The following is a 26,572-nucleotide window of genomic DNA, read 5'->3' as shown; positions in this document are numbered from 1 at the left end:
ATTAAGGACTCTCGTATGAACTTTAAATGTCCCACATTGATAAAATCTTACTAGGGATTTATTCTTAAAGTCAATAATTTTCTTTGTTAAGTGTATGAACACCTGTGAGTTAAAGGTTTAAAGAAAAACTATAATGAGAAAGCAGTAGAAACCAATTGTTTTGTTTAGTAGTCTAGAGCTCCCAACAAGATTTATCTGTCTTTGCGGCAGCAATATTTATCCATCTTTATAGATTTCCTTGAGGATAAAGAAAGATTCTAATTGTCCTTTGAACATCACTGATTTTCTACTTTTATACAGGGATACAGAATGATGCTTAGATATAAGTTCTAGCCTTTATTGTGTGACCAACAAAAGCATTAAAGCAGTGTTGCAGTAGCTACCTATTCCCAGATACTCAGGCAAGAAAGGAGAAATGTGTTCAGGCTCATCTTCCAGGATCATCAAGTACAGAATAACTGTTCACATGGGAGGAAAGCTACAAGAGGCAACTTCTGCAACAATTAAATGGAAATAGTAATAGTACATGCATCATAGGTTTGCATGAGGATTACTGAGGAAATATTAGTGAATCGCACACTTCAAAAATGTTAACTAAGACATTTGGGGGTGGCTGTTCCCTGATGCTTCCATCTCTTTAATAATGCTCTCATCTCTAGCAGAACATCTTTATCTCTATCTCCCTCAAGTTACTAGAATCTAAATATGAGGTATGCAGTTAGAGTTTCTTTTATCGACCTTAGTTGAAAAAGGTGCACATCGGGAGTCTCCCATAACTTCATGGATATTTGCTGCTACTATATGGTAAAAATATGAACTATGAATGAAGACTGTTTAAATAAGTATTTTCCAAATGTAGTAATATTGTTACTAAAACATTACATTTTAACAATAAGAGACTCAATTATTAAAACCCAGTTATTACTTTGCGTAAAGACTAACCATCTTGCCTGAATGTCCACCTTACCCACAGCTCTTCAGATAATTTGAACAGAATACCATTGCAAGCACTCCATTACAGGCATTTGTAAGCTCCTATAACTCCAGTTTGAAGTCCTTTTTCTAAATATGTATAGTATTTAACATATAAGCCGGTTCTACTACTGAAAGAGAGCTAAAAGCTTTTTGAGAATTCCATGATTTCCTGAATAGTCTATGCCTGGAGCAGACATAATAGCAATTGAGTAATAATATAAAAAATAGTGATTCCAAACAAAAGTCTGTTTGTGGCAGGAGCTGCTGTAAACTCAGCTTCTTGTTTGATTTTTTTTCTTGAATGTATGATGAGCAGATCATGTTGTAAAAGTTTCATTCAGTGCTCCATTAAATTACTAACTTATTGATACCACTATCAGGAAATAACTTCATGTTGACTTATAACATGCATGTGAGAAGTACGGAACTTCAAAATTAACAACAAAAAAGAAAATTAGACTCATCATTTCAATGAAATCACACGCTTAATGAATAGATTTACATCCACTGCCTGCCAAAGGTCACCAAAAACTTGCTAATATCTTTGTTAGGGTAAAATAGAGCCATATGAATTCATCTGTGTTTTCCAAAGCTTATAGAATAATACTACAAAAAATAAATGAATCATCAAAACCATTTACCAGATTTTAATAATAGTGCTTAAAAATTCATCTTAAACCAATGGAAAAAAGCTGACTGAAATTGTAACAGGAAGTATCTAAAGGTAGAATCACTATGAAGAAAAAGAACAAACTCAAAACCTACTAATGTATTCAAAAGACCATTAAAAAAACTTCAAATTTAATTATTGGAAGTTTATAGAACTGCTTCAGCACTTCTGTACTGAGTAAGTAAGCTGTACCTGAGGAGTAATAAATGAAATTGTTAACTTTACTGTTTCCCTAGGGAGTAGCTGGAGAAGGCGTGGGAATATGCTATTTAGATCTCCAAATGGATCATGGTTTATATGCAATAATAAATCCTAAACGTGTTGCTAATTAACTCTACTTCAAACCACTCCCTTTTTCTTTGGCTTAAAAGACATTTTGACTCGTGGGCTCACTCACCATTCATATTCTTAAAGATGTTCAGGACAGGGAGGATTTGACGGTAATAAGGCACCAAGGCCTTGCCCACCATCTCAGCTGACACAACCAGATGCTGGAGGACCTTGAGAGTGACACAGATGACCTGTCGGTTTCGGAGGTTCAAGGCATCTATATGGTAAAAGAAGGACCAAGCAGAAAATATTTTAATAGAAAGCATCAGGTCTACAAGGTTAAGGTAAAGTTGTCTTGTGGTTGCATTTAATTAAACTGTGCTCTACTGGGGACCAATGGGCCTTTATTATTATAGCTTTGGATGACACATTGCAACCCTAATGTTTTAAATGGAATCTTGTCTGATTACTGTTTATTCTCCCCATTGGCACTGATTTCTCACCAGCCCTAGGAATGCAGCTCATTTTCCCCTCGTAGAAGAGGCCGGGGCTCTGAGTTGGATAAGCAGTATGAAAGACAAAAGATCACTTAATGTTGCTGGAGTTAAAGGAACCCATGTGGGTTGACAACAGATACATTTTCATGCAACAATCTCTTTCATGCAACAATCCATACAATTCTTAAAACCATTAACATGGAACGAACATTTGGGAAGGAGGGTGAGGCATGGTGTTCAAATCTATAGGCTGGTTACAAACACCGAGAATATTCTTGGTAGAAGTGAACATAAAGTGACTACGTTTAGGCCCTCACAAAGTAGGAAAGAAAAGCAAAATTTTTTAAAGTTCAGTTAGAAGGAAACAACACATAAGCTATAAGAGACCACAGGAATATGACAGTTCTAAAGAAACAGTTCTGAGTGCAAAGTAACAAGCTGTACTGCAGAGACAGAGCAAGATGCCACCAGGGAGGGTCTGAAAGGCACCACTTGCCCCAGTGGGAAGTGCAGGGGGTCGGGAATCAGGATGCTGATAACTGGCTGTGCGAGGTTGGCCAACTTACTGGCACTTTCTTGGCCCCAGTTTCTTCAATCATGGGAGCCTGTTATGCACTTTCTAAGATGGCTAAAAGTACCATGGTTTAAGTAGAAGAGCCAGATAAAACATCTATTATAGAAGGTCAAAAGTGCAATTAATAAAATGTGATGCCTCAGATGACTCCAAGAAGAAGTCAAAGGCTCTTATTTGTAAGATGTTCTACCTTCTAATGAAAAAGATTGACTATGACCTTAAAGCAGATGCCACTGTGAAGGGACAAAAGGACCCAGGCTATAAAAAGAAATGATGCTTTGGTCAATACATCTCTGAGGCAGTCCTGACACTGTTCTTGAACTCCAGCTCACATTTCCATCAGCCTGGATCTTGCCAGAACCTCAAATTCAGTTTGTTCCAAAGACTAAATTTCCTCCCTGAACTTCTTTTTCTTCCCTATGTTCCTCATATTTAGTAAAGATAAACCTTGTTCCCAGTCACTCCAGGTCAAAGCCTGTTTCTCCTCCTTCGCATTCCTCATGTTACCAAATCATCTGGTTTTCCTTTTGCAGTATCTCTTGAATTTGTGTCTCCCTCTCCATCCTCACCAACACTCCTCTGGTCCTGGTCTCCATCCTCACCTCCTCTGCTCCGGTCCCAGTCTCCATCCTCACTGCCTCTCCTCTGGCCTCACTCTCCATCTTCACCTCCTCTCCTCTGGTCTCACTCTCCAACCTCACCTCCTCTCCTCCAGTGTCAGTCTCTATCCTCACCCTCTCTGCTCCAGTCCTGGTTTCCATCCTCACCTCCTCTCTTCTGGTCCTGGCCTCCATCCTCACCTCCTCTCCTCTGGTCTCACTCTCCATCCTCACCTCTTCTCCTCTGTTCCTGGTCTCCATCCTCACCTTCTCTCCCCTGGTCCTGGTCTCCATCCTCACCTCCTCTCCCCTGGTCCTGGTCTCCATCCTTACCTCCTCTCCTCTGGTCCTGGTTTCCATCCTCACCTCCTCTCCTCTGGTCCTGGTCTCCATCCTCACCTCCTCTCCTCTGGTCCTGGTTTCCATCTTCACCTTCTCTCTTTTCATCCTGGTCTTTATTTTCATCTTCTCTCTTCCAGTCCCAGTCTCCATTTTCACCATCTCTCTTCTGGTCCCTGTTTCCATCCTCACCTCCTCTTCTCTGGTCCTGGTCTTCATCCTCACCTCCTCTCCTCTGGTCCTGGTCTCCAGCCTCACCTCCTCTTCTCTGGTCCCAGTCTCCATCCTCATCTTCTCTCTCTGGTCTCACTCTCCATCCTCACCTTCTCTCCTCTAGGTATCCATTCTTATTGCTACTCCTCTGGTTCTGATCCTTGGGACCCATTCACTGGAGCACCAGCCTGCTCTTGTATGGATCTCTTTTCTTTCTGTCTTTCTCCACTTCCCCAACCTGTCTTTCAAGGTACCGCGGGGTTACCCTCCCTCAAGCTTATCTGATCATCTCACCACCTGCTAAAATTGCTCAGGGCCCCCTACCCGCTTCCATTGGCCTCAGAATTTGTGGGGTGCTCAGAAGTGTTTTTATACCACAGCCCCTAGTTTGTTGCTGAAAGGGATGAATCATACCCCACTTTATTTTTAAAAATTTTCTAGTGATTCCAGAGGAAATAGCTGCAAAACCACTAAATGATACCTTATTTTCCAAGACTTATAACTGAGGATTTGGTTTAGTTCAAACTTATCCTAAGTGCTTCCTTTATGCCTGGCTAGTTTGAACTAAACCGAATCCTCTGTTAAAAGTCCTAGAATATAAGATATCATTTAGTGGTTTCACAGCCATTTCCTCTGGAATCACTAGGAAGTTTTTTAAAAAAATGTGGTCAGATTCATCCCCCCTAGCAACGAACTAGGGTTTGTTGCATGAAAACACTTCAGAGCCCCCTACAACTTCTGGTCCAGTCCAGACTCTGTTCTTGTTTAGTTTGAAAGTAAATACAAATGTAATGAAAAGAGACGGCTCAGCCTTCACTCAGGGAACCAACCTAAATATAACCATAGAACTCAGCAGCATGATGGCTCATTACAGCAGCAGTTAGACACACTGCAGGACAAAATCTATCTGCTGAAAAACAACTAAAATTAGAATGCTATCATTTAGCTTAAGAGCTGGAGTCATGAGATATTCAAGAACAAGGTTTCAGATCACCATGAGAAGGTGAGGAGGAAGAAGGCACGCAGCGTGTTGCAGTCAGCAGTAGAGACTCTCTATCTGGTCTTATCTGATCTAAAAGCTGTTTTGCCTTTTTAGAATGTCAGGGGTTAGTGAGCCTTATGTACTGACAAGCTCAGGTTACCAGGAGAACTGGCAGGCCAGAAATGTTCTAAGGATTGGGGGCAGTTGATATTCTTTCAAAGTCTACCAACTATGCTCAACGGGTTTAGGCTTCAGGACTGCACAGATATGTGCGTGATTCACAGCACCTGTAGCTAACATGTAGTGAGCACCGCCATGTGCCAGGAATTAAACCGAGCACTTCACCTGTATTAACTTACTTAGACTTCCCTCACCAAATGTCTATTGAGAGTGCATGCATTACATGCCCATCACTGTTTTAGGAATTGGAAGGACAGAAATGAATCAGGCAAGTATGGTACCAACCTCTTGGGGTTTGTAAAATAGTATGGAAAAAGATATTAAACAAGTATGACAAATGTGACAATTACACATAAGAAGGACAGGGCGTTTAAGCAGACAATCAAGTCCCACGCCTAGTCTAGGGTTAAGGGAAGGCTCCCAGATGTGGGAACAAACCCCAGGGCTGAGTAGATGTCATTTACATGAAGAGTTTCCAGGAGAGGAAGCAGCGCGCTAGGGACTAGCTTCCCAGTAAGGAGTTCTTTCACTGCAGGGGCTGCTCCAGCTTGGATGCATGAGATTCCCCTGGGGGATTCAAGAGATAGTAGAAAGATACCCTGACTGGATGTGTCACTGGGAGTGTGTCTTTCTTGGGATCGTTTGGAAGTGCTGGAGAGGAGTATGGAGGTGCATACAAAAGGAGGGTGAGGCTGTAGTGATTTTTCCCAAGCTCAAGAATCCCTGGGTCCCACCTTGCCTTATCAACCAAACAGAATCAGATGTTTGAGATCCTGGGTTTCTTTCTTTTCTCTTTATTCATCTCTCCTTCCCATCCCACTCCTTAAGAAGGACTCAGAGCCACAGCTAGCTAAATATCTTATAAACTGCTTAGTGAGGAAGGATTAGACACAGAACAGAATCACATGGGTGTGTTGTTTGCATTTCTGTATATATTAAAAGAAATGTATGACTGAGCACATACAGTCCTCACTCCATTTCATAGGTTTTGTTTTTGTGTTTTAAAAAAAGCTGTTCTGTTGACACTATGAAGTCATAAGTAGGAGAGCCTATGGAAGGTAACAAAGTGATTACTACCTGAATGTGGTAATTGCAGAAAAGGTTTTGGTGACCGTTGTGGTCACTGGATGCTGGCGTATCCCAGTGTTGTTCTTTTAGTGTGTGCCCGCCGAAGGTTGCAATAAAACAGCCTGGGTATGCTGATCTACTGCCAATGTGAGAGAAGAAGTTTGCCCTGTAGAATATACTGGTATCAAGGAGTAAATTTATATATATAATATAATATATATATTATATATATGCACACATATGTATATATGAGATATATGAGTAACACTAACATTAAATTTTTATTAGGTTTATGTCCATGTCTATACCTAATTGATCATTTGGGCATGCATTAATAATCTCTCTCACAATGGATAATGATATTAACTATTAGGACATAGATTAGATATTAGCTATCAGGAAACCTTGCCTGAATTAACATGGTTGTGATCAACGTTATTGGATTGACAGTGACCAAGAAGTAAAATGCCTGAACTGTAACGCGTAATGGCATCTAAAATGGAGCTCTAAGTCCTCCTCAATGGACAGGTAATGGCTCTAAAACTTCTGCAGTAGCTGTGAAACAAAGGCAGGATATGCACTATTTAAAAGCCTCTTAACTTCGTCCAACAGGGATTTCTTACACTGCCCATTTTCTCTTCAGTTCCTCTATTTCTCTTCTTCATTCTCAGAGAATTAAGATACACCATGAAGTCGGAAGTCTTTTTGTTCTTACTGTCACAGCGGAATTAAAGCAAAAAGATTTTTTTTTTGAAACAGTTCTTTTCCTTTGAAAAAGTATGCTAACAGGTATAAAGAGAATATGATTTTGTAGCTTGAAAGAGAAGAAATGTGTTTATTCTTTTGTTGATGGGCCTGAAAGCTATTGTCAAGACATAAGTGAGGACTTTGAACTCAAGATTTAAGGTTTTGAAAAGGTTCTAACATGAGGAGTCTACTGACATTATAGATCAACAAATGGAACCTTTCTATTCAGAAAATTGGATTTCTATTGTACTGCTTACTGGCTTTAGGTATAATAAACAAGATAGAGGCTTCAGATATAGAGAAATTGCTGAAGAATAAGGAAAAAATAATTTGAAGTCAAGGGTGGTAAAAGTTATTTATCTTAAATGGTTATATGCTACATGTATAATTTTCTCAGGCATAAAATCCACTATTTTATGATTTTTTTTTTGCAAAGTGAGAACTTTTTCTACTATTAGATGTCATTCACTATTGTGGTATCAGGAAAAAAGGAAACATTTCTGCTTCTTCTTTTAAAACAAGAAACACCAAACAAAAGGCAAAAGCAAACAAAATTCTAAAAAATATTTTTGACATATGCTTTAAATGTTAATAGCTTTAACATACAAATAGCTATCACAACCCAATAAAGGACTGAATCTTCCAATTAAAAAAATGGGCACGGCACATAAACAGACAACGCACAAATTAATACATAAAAATGAACATTTACTATTCTGGAATGTTCAACTTGTGAAACCCAGAAAATCTGAGACAGGTCTCAGTTAATTTAGGAAGTTTATTTTGCCAAGGTTGAGGACACGCCCCTGACACAGCCTCAGGACGTCCTGACATGTACCCAAGGTGGTTGGCACACAGCTTGGTTTTATACATTTTATGGAGACATGAGACATCAGTCAATATATGTAAGATGTACATTGGTTTGGTCTGGAAAGGCAGGACAACTTAAAGCAAAAGCAGGAAGACTGGAAGCGGGGAGGGAGCTTCCAGGTCACAGAGAGGTGATACACAAACAGTTAACATTCTTTTGAGTTTCAGATGAGCCTCTCCAAAGGAGGCAAATCAGATTTGCATCTATCTCAGTGAGCAGAGGAGTGACTTTGATAGAATGGGAGGCAGGTTTGCCCTAAGCAGTTTCCAGCTTGACTTTTCCTGAGTGATTTTGGGGGCCCAAGATATTTTCCTTTCACAAACTTCATTGGTAATTTTTAATATCATGTTAACACAAAGTTGTTGACAATTTAACACTGTCAGTGTGGAAACAGGTTTGAGAAAAGAGAAAAGAGGAGACGCCCTGATAGACACCATGTTATAAACTATTCCAACCTTTCTACAGAGCAGTTTGGCAATAAACCTAAAAGCCATAAAAATGCATAAAACAGCTAACCTAGCAGTTTCATTTCTGGGTAGTTAGTCCAAGGATTTAGGCAAATGTGCACAAAGCATTGTAGGAAAGAATGCTAAGCCCAGTATTATTGATAATTAGAAACAATCTAAATGTTCCAAGAACAACAAATTGTTTAAGTAAACTATAGTATATCCACACAATGAAAAACTATAAAATTATTAGTCATCTAATAGAAAAAATAGTTTAAAATAGGAAAATGTTTAAGACACAAGTGACTAAAGAAGTAAACTATAAAGCATATTTGCACTCGGACCTCATTTTATAAAATAGAATGTAAACTGCATAAATACTAGAAACTTGTGTACTGAGACGCTAACAGAAGGGACTATCTTTTCCATAGACATATGTTCCACTAAAAGATAAGCGCTTTTAAAAACTGCTTTCTAAAAAATTATCAATATACAGTGCATATTTTTCTTTTGTTATTACATATTATTATTCATGATTGTAACTTTGTGTTTTAATAGATCAGAATTCAATCTATTTCTCATTGTTCTTTCTCAATATTCTCTCAATTATTTTTAACCCTTTATTTTTTGAGACAAACTTTAAGATAATTAGTTGAAATTGCAAATGTGCTTGGCCCTTTGGTAAAATTAGAGAATAATTTGGCAGACAATTGCCATCTTTACTACTGAATCCTTCCATTAGGAACATGATATGTCTTCAATTTTCTTGTCTTTAAGTTCCTTGGAAAAGTTTTATAGTATTTTTTCACATAGATCCTGCAAATTTTGTTAGATATACTCACAGAAATTCTATATTTTGTTGTTATTTGTGTAAAATTATTTAATCCCAATATTCTTCCTAAAGGTTATTGATAATATACACACAAAAGTATATGACTTTTATATACTTACTTTGTTAACGGGCTAACTTATTTAATTCCCTTACTGGATCTAATTGTTTTTGAGTGAATTAAGTTGGATTTTATATGTAATGATATTACCAAAAATATTGTTAAATTTGTGTTTGCTTTCTAATATTTATCTCTCCTTTTTTGGTCAGGTGACAGAGGCTAGAATTTCTAAAAGAAAATATAGCATTATAGTGCTGAGAGCAGGCATGTTAGTTTTTTTATCATTCTTATGTATTTTAATACCTTATTTTGTTTAGTGGGTAAAATATATGTAACATAAAATATGGCATTTACTCCCCCCCACTTTTTTTTCTGAGACAGGGTTTTACTCTGTCACCCTAGCTGGAGTGCAGTGGTGTGATCATAGCCCACTATAGCTTAATCCACCTGGGCTTAAGTGATCCTGTCACCTCAGCCTCCTGAGTAGCTGGAACTACAGGCACACACCACCATGGCTGGCTAATTTTTTTATATTTGTAGAGATGGGGTCTCACTATGTTGCCGAAGCTAGTCTCAAACTTCTGGGTTCAAGTGATCTGCCCTCCTTGGCCTTCCAAAGTGTTGGGATTAACAGGCGTGAGCCACCATGCCTTTTCACCTTTTTAAAGTATACAATTTAGTGGCATTAATTAGATTTACAATGTTGTGCAAGTCTCACCATTATCTTTTTCTAAAAATTCTTCATCACCCACAACTCTGTAGCCATTAAGCAAAGACTCCCCATGCCCCTGCTGTAGTCCCTGATAATCTACTTTTTGTCTTTATGAATTTGTCTATTATAGTGTCTCATAGAATTTTATTATTTTTTCTGAAGTTAAAATGTTTAATAAATATTTTATGTTTTGGGCCCATTATAGCGTTAGTTGAATTAGATTACAATGGATATAAATTTTGCTAGTTCAGGAGTGCCAACCATATAATTTTCTATTTTATAGGGTAGAATGAATTCAAAATATATTTTCAAACCAAATTTAGATTTCAAAATTGTAGAAATTTTTCTCCTTCCATAACAGAGCTCAATTGCTATATAAGTAAATATGACACAGCCTGATTTATCATATTCCTAGGCAATTAAAGTATGATCGATTTAGATCAGCTATTATGGACATGAGGTAAGCCTATAATAAGGATTACATTTTTTTCTTTAATTCATTGTTTTCAAGTTTCTCCTACTTGAAGTAAATGTCATACAAAAAATATTGATTTTTCTCTCAACACATATATAATATGTAAAATATATAAATACCATAGCATGCCATGCAACTATCTTTATGCAAAACTCAGATTTTCCATCAAAGTTTTGCCATTACAAGTGGCTGACTCTTTTTCAATTTTTCAATAGATCAAAATATATTCTTTCATGGCTGTAGAATATAATTTAGTATTTGTTGAAAGTGTTTGGCCATTCTCTCCATGACATACTTTGTTTTAAATGTAGATACATAATTCATGCTGTTTGAGTAAATGAAAGTATTCAGTTACCAAAATGGTCTCCATGATGCAGTCCCTAGCATGATCTATTTGACACTCCCCATATTCCAGACACAGAGAATGAAACCTGAAGCGTCATGTCATCCAACATACTCCTTTTCAGTCTTGTTGCCCAGGTTGGGCCTGCACTTGCTTACACACGTATGAGCACGTCTCACAGAAACTGAGAGTAAACCCATCAGCACTGTGGCACTGTCAGAGGCGGGGCAGGTTCGTGTCTTTGGAGCTCCTTGCTCCTCTGTACCTAAATTGTGTCTCAGTTCATCTGCAAAGATTGGGGTGAAAACTGAAAAGGTGACCAAAGGAAGGAGTTAGCACCATTTTCAGAGTAAAAACCAAGAGAATGCTGCATCATGCACCACTACTTCTAAGAATGACTAGGGCCGGGCACAGTGGCTCAAGCCTGTAATCCCAGCACTTTGGGAGGCCGAGGCGGGCAGATCATGAGGTCACCAGATCGAGACCATCCTGGCTAACACGGTGAAACCCCGTCTCTACTAAAAATACAAAAAATTAGCCAGGCGTGGTGGCGGGCACCTGTAGTTTCAGCTACTAAGGGAGGCTGAGGCAGGAGAATGGAATGCACCCGGGAGGCAGAGGTTGCAGTGAGCCGAGACCGCGCCACTGCACTCCAGCCTGGGCGACAGAGTGAGACTCCATCTCAAAAAAAAAAAAAAAAAAAAAAAAAGAATGACTGCTACATTTCTTCTTCTGGTTGAGAAAAGGTGTCTACATTTCCACAGGGTTTAGACAGTAGAAGCAGTGGAGTGTAAAGAAAGATACAATGTGCACAGGCTCTTCACAAAACAAGACAAGAGATGTGCACAAAATAGAAGACGGGTAAAGAGACCAATTTCCAAGAAGGAGTTTGAAAACTACACACTGCTAAGCCTGACATCAATAACTGCTGTGATTCTAGGACTGATTATTTAAGCAGGTGATTCGGGAGCTCCTAGGAAAATAGTAGTTGTTACCAGGAGTCAGAGTGAGCTCTCTGGAATAAGGCCAGCCAAGCTAACCTCATGTATTCTAATATGTTTCCTCATAAAGGAGATAATAAATAAACTGTATCAGCAAAGCATCTGGCAAGGCCTCTATGGTTTTCCTTATAGGGAGGATACAGGAATGGTTGAAAAAGTAGGCTTTTTCTTTCTTTCTTTTTTTTTTTTTTAACTCTGTGAACAATTGTATCCAAGTAATACGCACTAATGATTTGGTACCAGCCTGTACAGCCCTGAGTGGGATACCTCATGTATCTATATTTGATCGAGTCCAGTTTCCATCTAAAGTTTTTACTGTAACTTGGATGAATGTTATAGAATCCAAATCTATCAATTTTTTTTGATGACCCCAATTTAGAAGTCTGCAGAGACATGACCATGAAGGAAAACCAAGGATATAAAAATAATTTATTCTTGATCGGGCACCATGCTAAATGTTCTATTTGTATAATCTCATTACTCCTTACAGTGTCTCTGGGCAATCAGTTTTCTAATGCTCTGGGACAGTTAAAAGAGTCAGGTGGCCTGAGATCACACAGCTAGTTAGTAGCAAGCTGGGATCCGGTCTGCACTCAGCATGCTCAGGCCCCTCACCCTCCCAGCGTACCCACAGGCATGGGATACTGGTGTACAGCCAACCTGGCGTGTGCTCATGAGAAATGTTCAAAGCGGCACAGCAAACATAGAATCTAGGGTGGACTTTGAGCAGGCATTCGAGACACCTGCTGTGTCCTGTGCTTTGGTGGCTTAAGGAATAAGCCACTAGTAATAGTGATGAAGTGGGGTTTCACGGCAACTTTTGAAGAGCAAGGGGAGGCACTGCGGTAGTGCTAGTCCTGACTACAGCTCAGCCTCCACATGGGAGCAGGAGTGAAGATTCTCAGTCTGAGGCTCTAGCCCGGGTGACTAAAAAATGTTGCCGTAATTTAGGCAGAGAATGATGATGATGATGATAATGATGACGATGATAATGATGACAATGATAACACTTATAACCTTACATATTAGCTCATTTAATCACTGAAATAGCCCAATAAATTGGATGTCATTATCATCATTGCCCCCCTCCCCCCCTTTTTTTTTGAGACTAAATTTTGCTCTTGTTGCCCAGGCTGGAGCGCAGTGCAGCTCACTGCAACCTCCGTCTCCCGGGTTCAAGTGATTCTCCTGCCTCAGCCTCCCAAGTAGCTGGGATTACAGGCACCCGCCACCATGCCTGGCTAATTTTTGTATCCTTTTAGTAGAGAAAGGGTTTCACCATGTTGACCAGGCTGGTTTTGAACTTCTGACCTCAGGTGACCCACCCACCTCGGCCTCCCAGAGTGCTGGGATTACAGGTGTGAGCCACTGCGCCCGGTCCTATTGCCCCAATTTTATAAGTTAGGCTCCTGAGTCTCCAGGTAGTTAACTTGGACGATAGCAGTTATGCGGTAGAGTTGGAATTTTGATGAGGTAGTCTGACTTCAGAGCTTTTGCCCCTCAACATCACATTACACTAGAAGAGTGATAGAATTGGTTTGTTTATTTATTTATTTGAGAGTGGGAAAGGGACAGTTAATGCACGGCGGATTCGGCTTGAAAATGCATCTAGCTGGTTCTCTCTTTAAACATGCTGTGCCTTGCTGGCAGGGACAGCTAAGCTGTCCATTCTCTCCATCTCTGCCGCCTCCATCGTGGGTGCTGGATCACCCTTCCTCATTCCCCTGTTCATACAGGGCGAGGCCTGATGTTGATTCCTTCCTCTGGCGAGTGACCAGGCAAACTTTACTGTCTAAGACAATTTGAAACCACTTTCTTTCTGTATCTGGTAACCAAAATAATCCTAAGTCAGACACCTCTTTTTAATGTTTTTTAAACAGATTAGACTTGTTTTTCCAAAATTAAAAATCATTACTTTTAAAATAATTATGATCACGTTCAGAATAATTTACTTGGAAAATGTCAAGATAAGTAAAATTATTAGATCATGAGTAAAGGGTAATGCATTTCAATTGTACTTGCTTCTTTCTTAGTAAATAGAATTCCCAAAGTAATTTTTGTATTGTGATATGGATTCTCATATTTCATTCTTACTCGGTGGTGTTTTTCCCCACTAGGTTTTCCTTAACAGAATATTTTGCTTGGTAAAATGTTCTTGCTCAGGTTTCTTCCGCTGTGTCTGTGCACGCCTGCCCTTTACTGCCGGATGACCTCACCTCGTTAGAGCTCTCCTAATGAAGCCACCGTGTTATGGCCCGTCTATTTGTAAAGCAGTGATATTTCCATAATTCTTTGGCAACCAGGGTCACCTCTCCTCCTACTAGGCCATCTCACAAAAGTATGTTGCTGCTTATGATAGAATCACGTGAGAGAATGTAGATGAATCAACAGAAATGTACTCTCACCACTTAAATAATTCTCCCAATAAATAGAAAGCACTATATCATTATACCCTTCATCTGTTGTTTCATATGAGAGAGTCTTATGCGACAGTTTTTATAGAATATATAGTACAGTGGCAGGCCCAAATGGCCACTTCATGCTTTTGATTACGGCACCTATACAGATTTCAGTACAGACAGCAGTTATGTACCTTATTAAATTAATCTTGCAAATATTTTGATGCATCTCTTGTGTACTAGCCAGGACATTAGATGCTGTGGGGATGTATTACTTTCTAACATTATGTTCTAAGTGACATGAGAGAGGAGCTATAAAGTTATGTCGGGGAGGGAAGGCAGAGTGGGGATAGGACTGGAGTTGAGGGTAGGGAGTGGAGAGGTGAATCAGAAGAGGCTTTATAGATCAATTCATATTGGAGCTGGGCTTTGAAGGTCACTTAATGTTTAGGCATCTGGGGATGTGAGAATGGGCATTCCGAAAAATGAGCGAAGACAAAGAATTAGAAAAGTGCAAGGCAAGTTCTACGGCACAATCGGTTTGGCTAGAGCACAGGGTGAATGAAGGGAAATAGTAAGAAATAAAGTCAAAAACAAAATTTTCAGCCAGATAGTGGGAATCCTTGAAAGCCATGCCAAAGAATTTAAAGTAGGCCGACTTTGGAGAGGAGTCTGCCCTTAAAATCTGGAAATGCACCTGATAAGGTGAGTTGAAAGCTTTTTCCCTACGAGCTAAGTTGTGTGGCCTGGGGCAGCAGAAAGCAGGTAAACTGACTTGGAGAGAGAGTTCTGGGCTGGAAGAGCAGGTAGAAAATTGGAAGAGGGGATCTTGGAAGCGAGGGCCTCGCAGAGGGTGTAAACTGAAATTTGCATGTAAGCTCTGCCTTAGCTGACCTCTTAGAATTACACACATGGGGAGATTCCCAGTAGTCCCAGATGGCGAGCAAAAGCTGCAAGATGAAAAAACTGAAAATGAAATAACTTCAGCTGTTGTCCACCACAGAGAAGACAAGGTTTGGGGTCTGTGTCCAATTAATTGTCTGCCAGAATTAGAATCAACACTCTTCACAGGAAGACAACAGAATCCAGGGGCTGTAAAATGTATTCATAATGCCCTTGTAGGATTGCACGTTGTGGCCCTGTTAAGGTTGGATGGGCCCTAGACTATGTCTGGCCAATGAATAGTGAATAGAAGTGAAATGTGCCCCTTCCAGGGTGGACCTTCTGAGCTCTTGTTTCCTGTGGTACTGAACCAGCAACAACTATCAGGCTGGGTCCCTAAGCAATGACAATGAACAGAACCTTGCTGCTAACCTGCAACAGACAGGTTGCACAGTCAGAAATCTATATTGTTCATGTTTTAAGTAATGTATTGTTTTAAGCCCCTAAGATTTTTGGGATTGGTTGTTATTGAAATGTAAACTAGTTTATTCTGATTGATAAAATTCCCTGTATCAGATTAAGGGAATTCCTTTCTATTCTCAGTTTGTTTTAAATACATGAATGAATGTTAAATGTTATCAAATGCTTTTTCACCATTTATTAAATAATCATTTTTTAATTCATTAATGTTGTAAATTGGCTTGATTGATTTTTCTAGTGTTAAGCCAGTCTTATACTCCTGAAATAAAACCAACTTTGTCATGAGGTATTATCATTTTTTATATATTGATGGATTCTATTTGTTAGTTATATTGTTTAATAAATTTTCCTTGATGTTTATGAGTGAGATTGTCCTGGAAGTTTCCTTTCTTATAATATCCATGAATATTGGTATCAAGGTTATGCTAGCTTTATGAAATGAGTTGAAGTGTGTATTCTCCAGTTTTATTGTCTGGAAAAATTTGTACAAAATGACAATTATTTTTTTCTTCAGCTGTTTGGTACAACTAACCAGTGAAGCTATGTGAGCCTTGAGCTATTGTTGTGTGGGGGATTTTAATTACTGACTTAATTTCTTCATTTGTTGTATTAGTGTTTGTATTTTAACTTATTTTCTATTTTTCAGGTGTCAGTTTTGGTAAGTTATATTTTCCACCTTGATCATTTCATGAACAATTCAAAGTTTTAGGGATAAGTTGTTCTTAATACCCTATCATGATATTTTCAATGTCTGTAGGATTTGTGTGACACTTCCTTTTTTATTTCTGATATTGGTTATTTCTGTCTTCTCTCATTTTAAATTTAGTTATATATATATACTTTTTGAGACAGAGTCTCACTCTGTGACCCAGGCGGGAGTGCAGTGCCCAATCACAGCCCACTGTAACACTGAGCTCCTGGGCTCATGCGATCCTCCCACCTCAGCCTCCCACTCCAGTAGCTGGGACTACAGGCGGCATCACCACATCTGGCTAATTAATTTTTTTAATTCTAAGTTTACCAAATATTTATCAATGTTATTCGTAATTTAAAGGAACCAACCAACATTTGGTTTTTGGTTCTCTTAATTGTATGGTGGTTTTCTGTATGTATTTTAATTTATTTTTGCTTTATTTTTTGTAGGTACATAGTAGGTATATATATTTATAGGTTACAATATGTATTTTGTTACAGGCATGCAATGTGTAATAATCGCATCAGGGTAAATGAGGTATTCATCACTTCCAGCATTTATTCTTTATGTTACTAATAATCCAATTATGCTCTTTTAGTTATTTAAAAATGAATGATTAAGTCGTTTTCAACTATAGTCACCCTGTTTTGCTAGCAAATACTAGGTCGTACTATTTCTAACTATTTTTTGTACCTTCTAACCATCCCCGCTTACTCCCCTCGCATCTGGTAACCATCCTTCTACTCTCTATCTCCATGAGTTAAATTGTTTTAATTTTGAGCACCCCAAAATAAGTAAGAACATGTGAAGTTCGTCTTTTTTGCACCTGGCTTATTTCACTTAACATAATGACCTCCAGTTCCATCCATGTTGTTGCAAATGACAGGATCTCATTCTTTTTTATGACTAAATAGCACTCCATTGTGTTTATGTACCATATTTTTTTTATCCATTCATCTGTTGATGGACACTTAGGTTGCTTCCAAATCTTGGTTATTGTGAATAGTGCTGCAATAAATACGCGAATGCAGATATTTCTTTGATATACTGATTTCCTTTCTTTTGAGTATATACCTAGGAGTGGGCTTGCTGGATTGCATGGCAGCTCTCTTTTAGTTTTTTGAGGAACCTCCAAATTGTCCTCCATAGTGGTTGTATTAATGTACATTCTCACCAACAGCATATGAGGGTTCCCTTTTCCTCACCAACATTTGCTATTGCCTGTCTTTTGGATAAAAGCCATTTCAACTGGGATAAGATATCTCATTATAGTTTTGATTTGCATTTCTCTGATGATCAATTATGTCGAGAACCTTTTCATATGCCTATTTGCTATTTGCATGTCTTCCTTTGAGAAATGTCTATTCAGATATTTTGCTTATTTTAAAATTGGATTATTAGATTTTATTCGTATAGTTGTTTGAGCTCCTAATACATTCTAGCTGTTAATCCCTTGTCAGATGGATAGTGTGCAATTATTTTCTCCCATTCTGTGAGATGTCTCTTCACTTTGTTGATTGTTTCCTTTGCTATGCAAAAGGTTTATAACTTGATGCGATCCCATTTGTCCATTTTTGCTTTGGTTGCCTGTGCTTGTCAGGTATTGTTCAAGAAATTTTTGCCCAGACCAATGTCCTGGAGATTTTCCCCAATGTTTTCTTGTAGTAGTTTCATAGTTTGAGGTCTTAGATTTAAGTCTTTAATCCACTTTGATTTGATTTTTGTATATGGTGAGAGATGGGGGTCTAGTTTCATTCTTGTGCATATGGATATTCAGGTTTCCCAGCATTTATTGAAGAGATTTTCTTTTCCCAGTGTATGTTCTTGGCACCTTTGTCAAAAATGAGTTCACTGTAGATGTATGGACTTATTTCTGACTTCTCTCTTATCTATGCTGTTCCACTGGTCTGTGCTTCTGTTTTTTATGCCATAATGTAGTATAATTTGAAGTCAGATGATGTGATTCCTCCAGCTTTATTCTTTTTGCTTCGGATAGTTTTGACAATTCTGGGTCTTTTGCGGTTTCATATAAAATTTAAAATTGTTTTTTTCTGTTTCTGTGAAGAATGTCATAGGTATTTTTATAGAGATTGCATTGAATCTGTAGATTGCTTTGGGTAGTATGGACATTTTAATAAAATCGATTCTTCCAATTCGTGAACATAAAATATCTTTCCATTTTTTGGTGTCCTCTTCAATTTCTTGCATCAATGTTTTAAGTTTTTATTGTGGAGATCTTTCACTTCTTTGGTTAATTCTTAGGTACTTAGTTTTATCTGTGGCTATTGTAAATGGGACTACATTGTAAAATTTCTTTTTCAGTTTGTTCACTCTTGGTATATGGAAATGCTAATGATTTTTGTTTGTTGATTTCGTATCCTGCTACTTTACGAATTTGTTTATTAGGTCTAATAGTTTTTTGGTGGAGTCTTTAGGTTTTTCAAAATATAAGATGATATCATCTGCAAACAAGGATAATTTGACTTCTTCTTTTCCCATTTGGATCCCCTTTATCTCTTTCTCTTGTCTGATTGCCCTAGCTAAGACTTCCAGTACTACGTTGAATAACAGTGGTGAAAGTGGGCGCTCTGTCGTGTTCCTGATTTTAGGAGGAAAGGCTTTCAGTTTTTCTCCATTCAGTGTGATACTAGCTGTGAGTCTGTCGTACGTGGCTTTTATTATGTTGAGGTATATTCCTTTGATAGTCAGTTTTTTGAGGGGTTTTCATCATGAAGGGATGTTAAACATTTGTTTTTATTTTTCAGGACAAATTGAAAGGATCATAGGCTTTTTGTCCTTCATTCATATGTTGATGATGTTGACATGCTGTATAACATTGATTGCTTTGCATATATCGTAACATCCTTGCATCCCTGGGATAAATCTCACTTGGTCATGATGAATGATCTTTTTAATGTGTTGTTGAATTCAGTTTGCTAGTATTTTGTTGAGGATTTTCCATCAATATTTATTAGTGACATTAGCTTGGGTTTTCTTTCTTTCTTTTTGTTTTAATGTGTCTTTGTCTGGTTTTGGTATCAGGATAATACTGGCCTTATAGAATGAACTTGGAAGTATTCTCTTCTCCTTTATTTTTTTTTTGGGAATAGTTTGAGTAGGATTGGTATTAGTTCTTCTTGAAATGTCTGGTAGAATTCAAGAGTGAAGCCATTGAGTCCTGGGATTTTCTTTGCTGGGAGACTTTTTATTATGCTTTGTCTACATTACTTGTTATTGGTCTATTTGGGTTTTGGATTTCTTTATGATTCAACCTAGGTAGGTTTTTATGTGTTTAGGAATTTGTCAGTTTCCTCTAGATTTTCCAATTTATTGGCATATAGTTGCTTATTGTACCCACCAATGATCCTTTGAATTTCAGTGATATCAGTTGTAATGTTTCCTTTTTTATCTCTGATTTTATTTATTTGGGTCTTTTTTTTTTTCTAACTTAGATCTGGTCTTTATTATTTCTTTTCTCCTACTAATTTTGGGTTTGGTTTACTCTTACTTTTCTAGTTCTTTAAGATGCATTGTTAGGTTATTTATTTCAAGTTTTTCTTTTTTGATGTAGCCTTACAGCTATACATTTCCCTCTTAGTCATGTTTTTGCTGTATCTCATGTTTCTGCTGCATGTTGTGTATCCATTACCACTTGTTTCAAGAAAATTTTCAATTTCCTTCTTAATTTCTTCAGTGATCCACAGGTCATTCAGGAGCATATTGTTTAATTCCATGCATTTGTATAGTTTCCAAAGTTTCTCTTATTGATTTCTAGTTTTAGTCCATTGTAGTTCAAGAAGATGCTTGATATTATTTGAATTTTTTTGAATGTTTTAAGAGTTGTTTTGTGACCTAACATATGGTCTATCCTTGAGATGATCCACATGTTGAGGAAAAGAATGTGTATTCTGCAGCCATTGGATGAAATGTTCTGTAAATATCCACTAGATTCATTTGGTCTATAGTACAGATTAAGTCAATGTTTCTTTGTTGATTTTCTGTCTGGAAGATCTGTCCAATGCAGAAAGTGGGGTGTTGAAGTCTCCAGGTATTATCGTATTGTGGTCTGTCTCTCTCTTTAGCTCTAATAATATTTGCTTTACCTATCTGGGTGCTCCAGTATTGGGTGCTTACATATTTACAACTGTTATATCCTCTTGCTGAATTGACCCCTTTATCATTATATCTTTGTTTCTTCTTATAGTTTATGACTTGAAATCTATTTTGTCTGATATAAGTATAGCAACTTCTGCTCTTTTTTGGTTTCCATTGGCATGGAATATCTTTTTCCATCTCTTTATTTTCAGTCTACGTGTGTCTTCCTAAGTGAAGTGTGTTTTTTGTAACAGATCATTAGGTCTTTTTTTTTTTTAAATCAATTCAGCTACTCTGTGCCTTTTGATTGGAGATTTTTGTGCATTTACATTCAATGTTATTATTGATAAAGACTCACTATGGTCATTTTGATATTTTGGTTTTGTGGTTGTTTTGTGATCTTCTATTCCTTCTTTCCTTCCTTCCTGTCTTCCTCTTAGTGAAGGAAGGTAATTTTCTCTGGTGATATGATTTGATTTCTTGCTTTTTATTTTATGTATATCCATTGTATGTTTTTTGATTTGAGTTACCATGAGATTGCAAATACTATCTCATAACTCATTATTTTAAGCTGATAATACTGTTTGCATAAATGAATGGGCAAAACAAAAACTAATCAAAACCCCCATCTTAACTTTGTCCCCCTGCTTTTTAACTTTTTTTTCTATTTGTATTTTATTATACTGTCTATGTCTTGAAAAGTTGTTGTAGTTATTTTTATTGGTTCATCATTTAGTGTTTCTACTTAAGTGTAGTTTGTACACCACAATAACAGTGCTATAATATTCTATTTTTCTGTGTACTTACTATTACCAGTGAGTTCTGTTCCTTCAGATGACTTCTTATTGCTCATTAATATCCTCTTCTTTCTGATTGAAGTACTCCCTTTAGCATTTCTTGTAGGACAGGTCTTGTGTTGATGAAATCCCTCAGCTTCTGTTTTTCTGGGAAAGTCTTCACTTCTCCCTCATATTTGAAGGATATTTTTGCTGGATATATTACAGGTTAAAAGTTTTTTCCTTCAGCACTGTAAATATGTCATGACACCCTCTCCTGGCCTGTAAGGTTTCTACTGAATAGTCTACTGCCAGATGTATTAGGGCTCCATTGAATGTTATTTGTTTATTTTCTCTTGCTGCTTTTAGGATTCTTTCTTTATCCTTAACCTTTGGGAGTTTAATTATTAAATGTCTTGAGGTAGTCTTCTTTGGCTTAAATCTGGTTGGTGTTTTATAACCATCTTGTACTTAGATATTAATATTTTTCTCTAGATTTGGGGAGTTCTCTGTTATTATCCTTTTGCATAAACTTTCTACCCCATCTCTTTCTCTGCCTTCTTTTTAAGGCCAATAACTCTTAGATTTTCCGCTTTGGGGCTATTTTCTAGATCCTGTAAGTGTGCGCTTCATTATTTTATATTCTTTTTTCTTTTGTCTCTCCTGAGTGTGTGTTTTCCAATAGCTTGTCTTCAAGCTCAGTAATTCTTCCTTCGGCATGATCAATTCTGCTATTAAAAGACTCTGATGCATTCTTCAGTATGTCATTGCATTTTTTCAACTCCAAAATTTCTGCTTGGTTCTTTTTGTTTGGATCTGTTTGTTAAATTTATCTAACAGAATCCTAAATTTCTTCTCTGTGTCATCTTGAATATCTTTGAATTTCCTCAACACAGCTATTTTGAATTCCTTGTCTGAAAAGTCACATATCTCTATTTCTCCAGGATTGGTACCTGGTAACTAACTTACTTTTTTTTTTTTTTTTTTGGTGAGTTCATGTTTTCCTGGATGGTCTTGATGCTTGACGTCTGGGCATTGAAAAGTTAGGTATTGCGGTCTTCACAGTCTGGGCTTATTTATAGCTATCCTGTTTTGGAAGGCTTTTCAGATATTCGAAAGGACTTGGGTATTGTTGTCTAAGCTGTATCTGCACTGGGAGCACTGCAAGCCCAGTAATGCTGAGATTCTTGCAGAGTCATAGAGGTACTGCCTTGTTGGTCAATTGGTGAGTCTGATTCCAGGCTATGCTCTTAGCCAGTATATTACCTGTTGATCTATAAGCAGGATAAAGAAAGTCTGAAATGGTAGCAAAGGGAAAATTTATTTTTACTGAATAAGTCAAAAAAATAATAAGTCAGGAAGCCAAAAAGAAACTGCTAAATACCCCCCACCCCAAACAAAGAAAAGCGCTACAAATCTATAATAAATATTCACAGAGAGATAAGAGAATAAACATAAAAGAACCAAATAGTATAAAAAAAGGAACAGTCAGAGGAAAGGAAAGTTACAATAACTAAAGTGAAATATTCACAATTTCGGAAGATAGAGTCAAGGACATTTCTCAGGAAATAGAACTAAGCGACAGAGTAGGAAAAAATGAACAAAAAGATAAAGAACTAAGAGAATCCACTGGGAGGCATTATAGATGACTGGCTGGAATTACATCAGAAAACCAAGAGAAAACAGAGAGAAGATACTGTTAAAGAAGTAACACATAAAAAGTTTTTAGTGCAGAAAGACATAGGTCTCTAAATTGAAATTTCCTGGGAAAATTGATAAAAAAAAAAAAAGCATTAAAGTATATCCACATAAAATTTCATATCACCAGAGATAAAGATTCAAAAATGTTCAGAGATTGGAGGCCAATAGGTCACAGGCAAATGACTAGAAATTCAGATGCATCAAGATTTTCAAAGCAACATAAGACTCTGGAGGCGATAGAGACATGACCTCCCTGTTCTGAATGAAAAGGGTTTTCAACAAAGCAAACTCATAATCAAGCTTGATGATAGAATTTTCAGATATGCAAGAACTAAAAAATATACCTTTCATATGCTTCCCGGAAATTACTAGAAGATGCAAACTCTAACAGTGATGAGGAAAACAAGACAAAGAGCTAAGGAAAGAGGTTGAACATAAAAAAGGAGTAACAGGAAGTGTCAGGCCAAGACAATATGTGGTCCAGATTGGAGCAAATGGATGGATGGAGGATGGAAGAGTGAATGTCTCCAGAAAGGGAAATAAAATTAATTTCAGATGAAGTCAGATAAATCTGGGTTATTTAATGTTCTGAACATTTTGAAAATAATATTCTTTTGACAGATCTTGTAATACTTGAAGAAAATTAGGAAGTATATAAAAATCAAGTATGCAAAATGAGAGGCAATTATCAATGCTGAGAAAAACAAGTTGTATTAGAAAAGTAATCATAGCAGATGTGGGACTTGCAGTGAACAGTATTTATGTGATCATTAATTAGTGGGGAAGAAGGTATGTTTGTGGAGGGGAGTTAAATTCTAATCAACATGAGGTGACTGGCAGTCCCTGCTAAAACCAGTCTTTCAAAGGAGTTTCCAAATCAAGACTTTTTCCTTGTGACTAGTGAATTATTTCTCCCAATCCTTCGTGGAAACAACAGATTATTTGGTTTTCCTTTTGTCCTCTTGTTGTATTTCTATTTTTTTACAAGTTACCTTGGCTTTCTTTAAAAAAAGATTGCCTTACTGAAAGTGTTTTTTCTTTCACTTGTACCTCATATGCATACTATCTATTTTAATCCATGAATGGTTACATTTAAGGCCTAAAATCTTAAAGTTGTGTTTCTCTAATCATGCACATTATGAACAATGCAGTATCTCCTGATCCCACATACAAGGGAGAAAATTAGCATTCATCTCTTCCCCTCCCACCCATGTCCCACGCCTGGCTCTCGTGTCCAGGACTCTTTGGTGGGGCCTGGGGCGTCCAAGCACTCACTGTGCCCTAGCAGGCCTTGCCTCAGCCCGGCAGCAACAGCATCGACCACGGGCTTGTCAGAGATGCAGCATCTCAGGTCCGTTCGCATCTGCTGATCTGGAGCCTGCATTTTACCAAGGTCCGCGGATGCATACTGAAGCTTGGGAAGCGGTGCTACAGCAGGAAGGCTGTTCACTTGGGTTGGTGAAGATCCTAGATCTTAAAGTCAAAGGTCAGGAAGTGGAGGAAGGACAGGGATCTTTTTAGCTCTCAGTCAAGAAGTCTACCTTCCTTCCGGGGTGAAAACGATGAGTAGCAGCTGATTCTTTCTCAAATATGATGTCATAGTTTGCAGTACACAGTGGGCCATGACTATTAAATTTTTGTTGTGAATATTTTAATCATTATAAATTGATCCTCTTTATACACTTGAAAACTCTTTACAATTAAATTTTACTTTTCTAAAATTAAAATCACGACTTCTGCTTTTTTATTTATTCCAATATATCTTTGAACATATTTAAGTATTATTTTGTTTTTTAGAGAGTTTACATACAGATTTTGTTTTTTCAGTTGTAAAGTTAATTTTCGTAGCTGATCTATTGGATGTTACATTCTTCATCCTATTTTGTGCTTTTGGTTCTTAGCCCTTCCTTGCTGTCTACTCAGCTTTTGTCCTTTTAATAGACAGACTCTGTTTAACTACCTTTATCTTCTGCATTGACTTTGAGGGTGTAGACCCCAGTTTTCCTGGGATTTTTAAGAGTCATTACTGCAAAATTATGATTCAACACTTCATGTGGCTTTGAAACTCTTTTCCCTCCACTATTTAGACATAACCCTAGGTTTAGTGCTGACTGCTTTTCACACTACACTGTCCTCCTCACTTGGGGACTCTCACTGTGCTTTACTTGCTGTGAGCTGGAGCACAGCCCCATTCACCTTCTGGATGAAGGACAGAGGGATACTGCAGTCACTGCGTCCACAGTGTTTTTCTTCACATGACCGGGGTAAAATCACGCCCAAGATGTTTCTCCCCATTTCTCTAAAAGGTGCTCTGTTGTCTGGAATTTACTCTTGCAAAAAATCTTAGCCTCAGTATTATTTGTTGTTGTATTGCTTTTTCCCCTGTCCAGACGTTTGAAGGATTTTTCTTTATGTTATAATTTAAAGTTTTTGGCAAATTGTGCCTCCACCTGAGTCTGTTTTCACTGATTTTCTTTAGATTGCTGCAAGTATTTTCTACCTGCGTAATAAGAGATAATTTTTCCTCCTAGAACATCTCTTCGAATCACCTCTGCCATTATGATTGCTATTCCTGTCGCTCTGATAGTTCCTCTTGGGAACACTAACTTTTAACTCTTTTGTGTTCTATGTCCTCCAATTTAATATCTTTTCTGGCCTTATTTTTATACACTTGTCTTTTCTGAGAGAGCGCCTTAACGTTGCATTTATAATTGATCTTGTGCAGTTGATTATTCTCTATACTTCTATGGAGATTTTAGTTCTACTACGGCATTTTCAGTTTGCCTTGTCCTGTTCAAAATGGACTTCTTTTTATTTGAGTCTAATCTCCTCTTCTGGATTTCTGCTTCTGTTTCTCAGAGGCCACGTCTTCCTGAATCCTGAGGATGTCAAACAAGTTTCTACAAGTTTCTTCTGGTTCATATGCCAGATGTTGTTGAGGTATTCTTTTCCTCCGATTGTGCACAATACTTCCTTCCCTGTGTGTAGAGATTTTTCCCATGGCCCCCTGTGGCTGCAGTGTTGCTACTGTTCTCACTTTTATTGAGGAGAGAGATTGTTAGAGTTTGCTGGTTGCTCTTGGCCCCTCTCTGCCCTCTTGACCGCTGTTTTGGAAGAATCCCCTTCTGAATTTCGTATGCGGAGATTCCAGACACTGCCTCCTGGTTTCACTCTGATGGATTGAGAAGGATTTGTCTTTTCCTACTGGATGGAGTAAATGTGAATCTGTAATCCCCGATCCAGACAAGTAAGAGGGCTGCTCTTTTCTCAGCCTCCCCTATGAGGTTTTGCTGCTGCTCCCAGCAATCAATGCTCCATCACCAACCCTGAGCACTTTATGTCAGCATGATTTTGGAGTTTCTGACCCAAAATAACTCAAGATGGAAATCAGAAAGGTGGGAGGGAAAAGGGAGCAGCAGTAGTTGTGCCAGAAAACAACGTCAGTGAAATAGGTGTCCGAGACCCACGGTGTGGGTTATTCCAGAACTTGGGGGCTTGAACCAAGCAGCAGTAGGAGAAAGAACGGTGGATTCTTGTTTGTTATCATATTAGAAACCCCAGAGCCACTAAATGTGTCAATTTCTCATTCCAGTATTATCAGCCTTCTAATTTGTTGAAATCAACCCAGTTTCCAGAAATACAAGGGCAGCTAATCCCAGCTCACTGCCTCACAGTGAGTTTATACATTTTGCT

General features: G+C 37.8%; 1 protein-coding gene across 21 annotated transcripts in view, besides 1 other annotated feature; it reads right to left on the bottom strand.

Moving 5' to 3' along the window:
• Positions 1-26,572, bottom strand: part of PACRG (parkin coregulated) — a 588,369-nt gene that overhangs the window by 224,050 nt on the left and 337,747 nt on the right. For 20 of the 21 annotated variants that reach the window (NM_152410.3, NM_001080378.2, XM_017010277.3 and 17 more), the window contains one exon: positions 2,043-2,192. In NM_152410.3, the coding sequence (NP_689623.2) occupies positions 2,043-2,192 (150 nt within the window). Of the gene's footprint in view, positions 1-323; positions 495-2,042; positions 2,193-26,572 lie in introns of those variants that run through there. The other variant, XM_011535466.2, reaches the window with a different exon arrangement.
• Positions 7,887-8,456: an enhancer, noted in NCBI's record as "OCT4-NANOG hESC enhancer chr6:163504027-163504596 (GRCh37/hg19 assembly coordinates)". NCBI's record gives its function as "activates a minimal SCP1, AML or CMV promoter by ChIP-STARR-seq in naive and primed H9 embryonic stem cells {active_cell/tissue: H9 hESC(naive and primed)}" and the evidence as "EXISTENCE:reporter gene assay evidence [ECO:0000049][PMID:30033119]".

This window comes from Homo sapiens, chromosome 6, assembly GCF_000001405.40.
Source record: "Homo sapiens chromosome 6, GRCh38.p14 Primary Assembly".
Taxonomy (NCBI): domain Eukaryota; kingdom Metazoa; phylum Chordata; class Mammalia; order Primates; family Hominidae; genus Homo; species Homo sapiens.
This window is presented reverse-complemented; position numbering and strand designations above follow the sequence as displayed.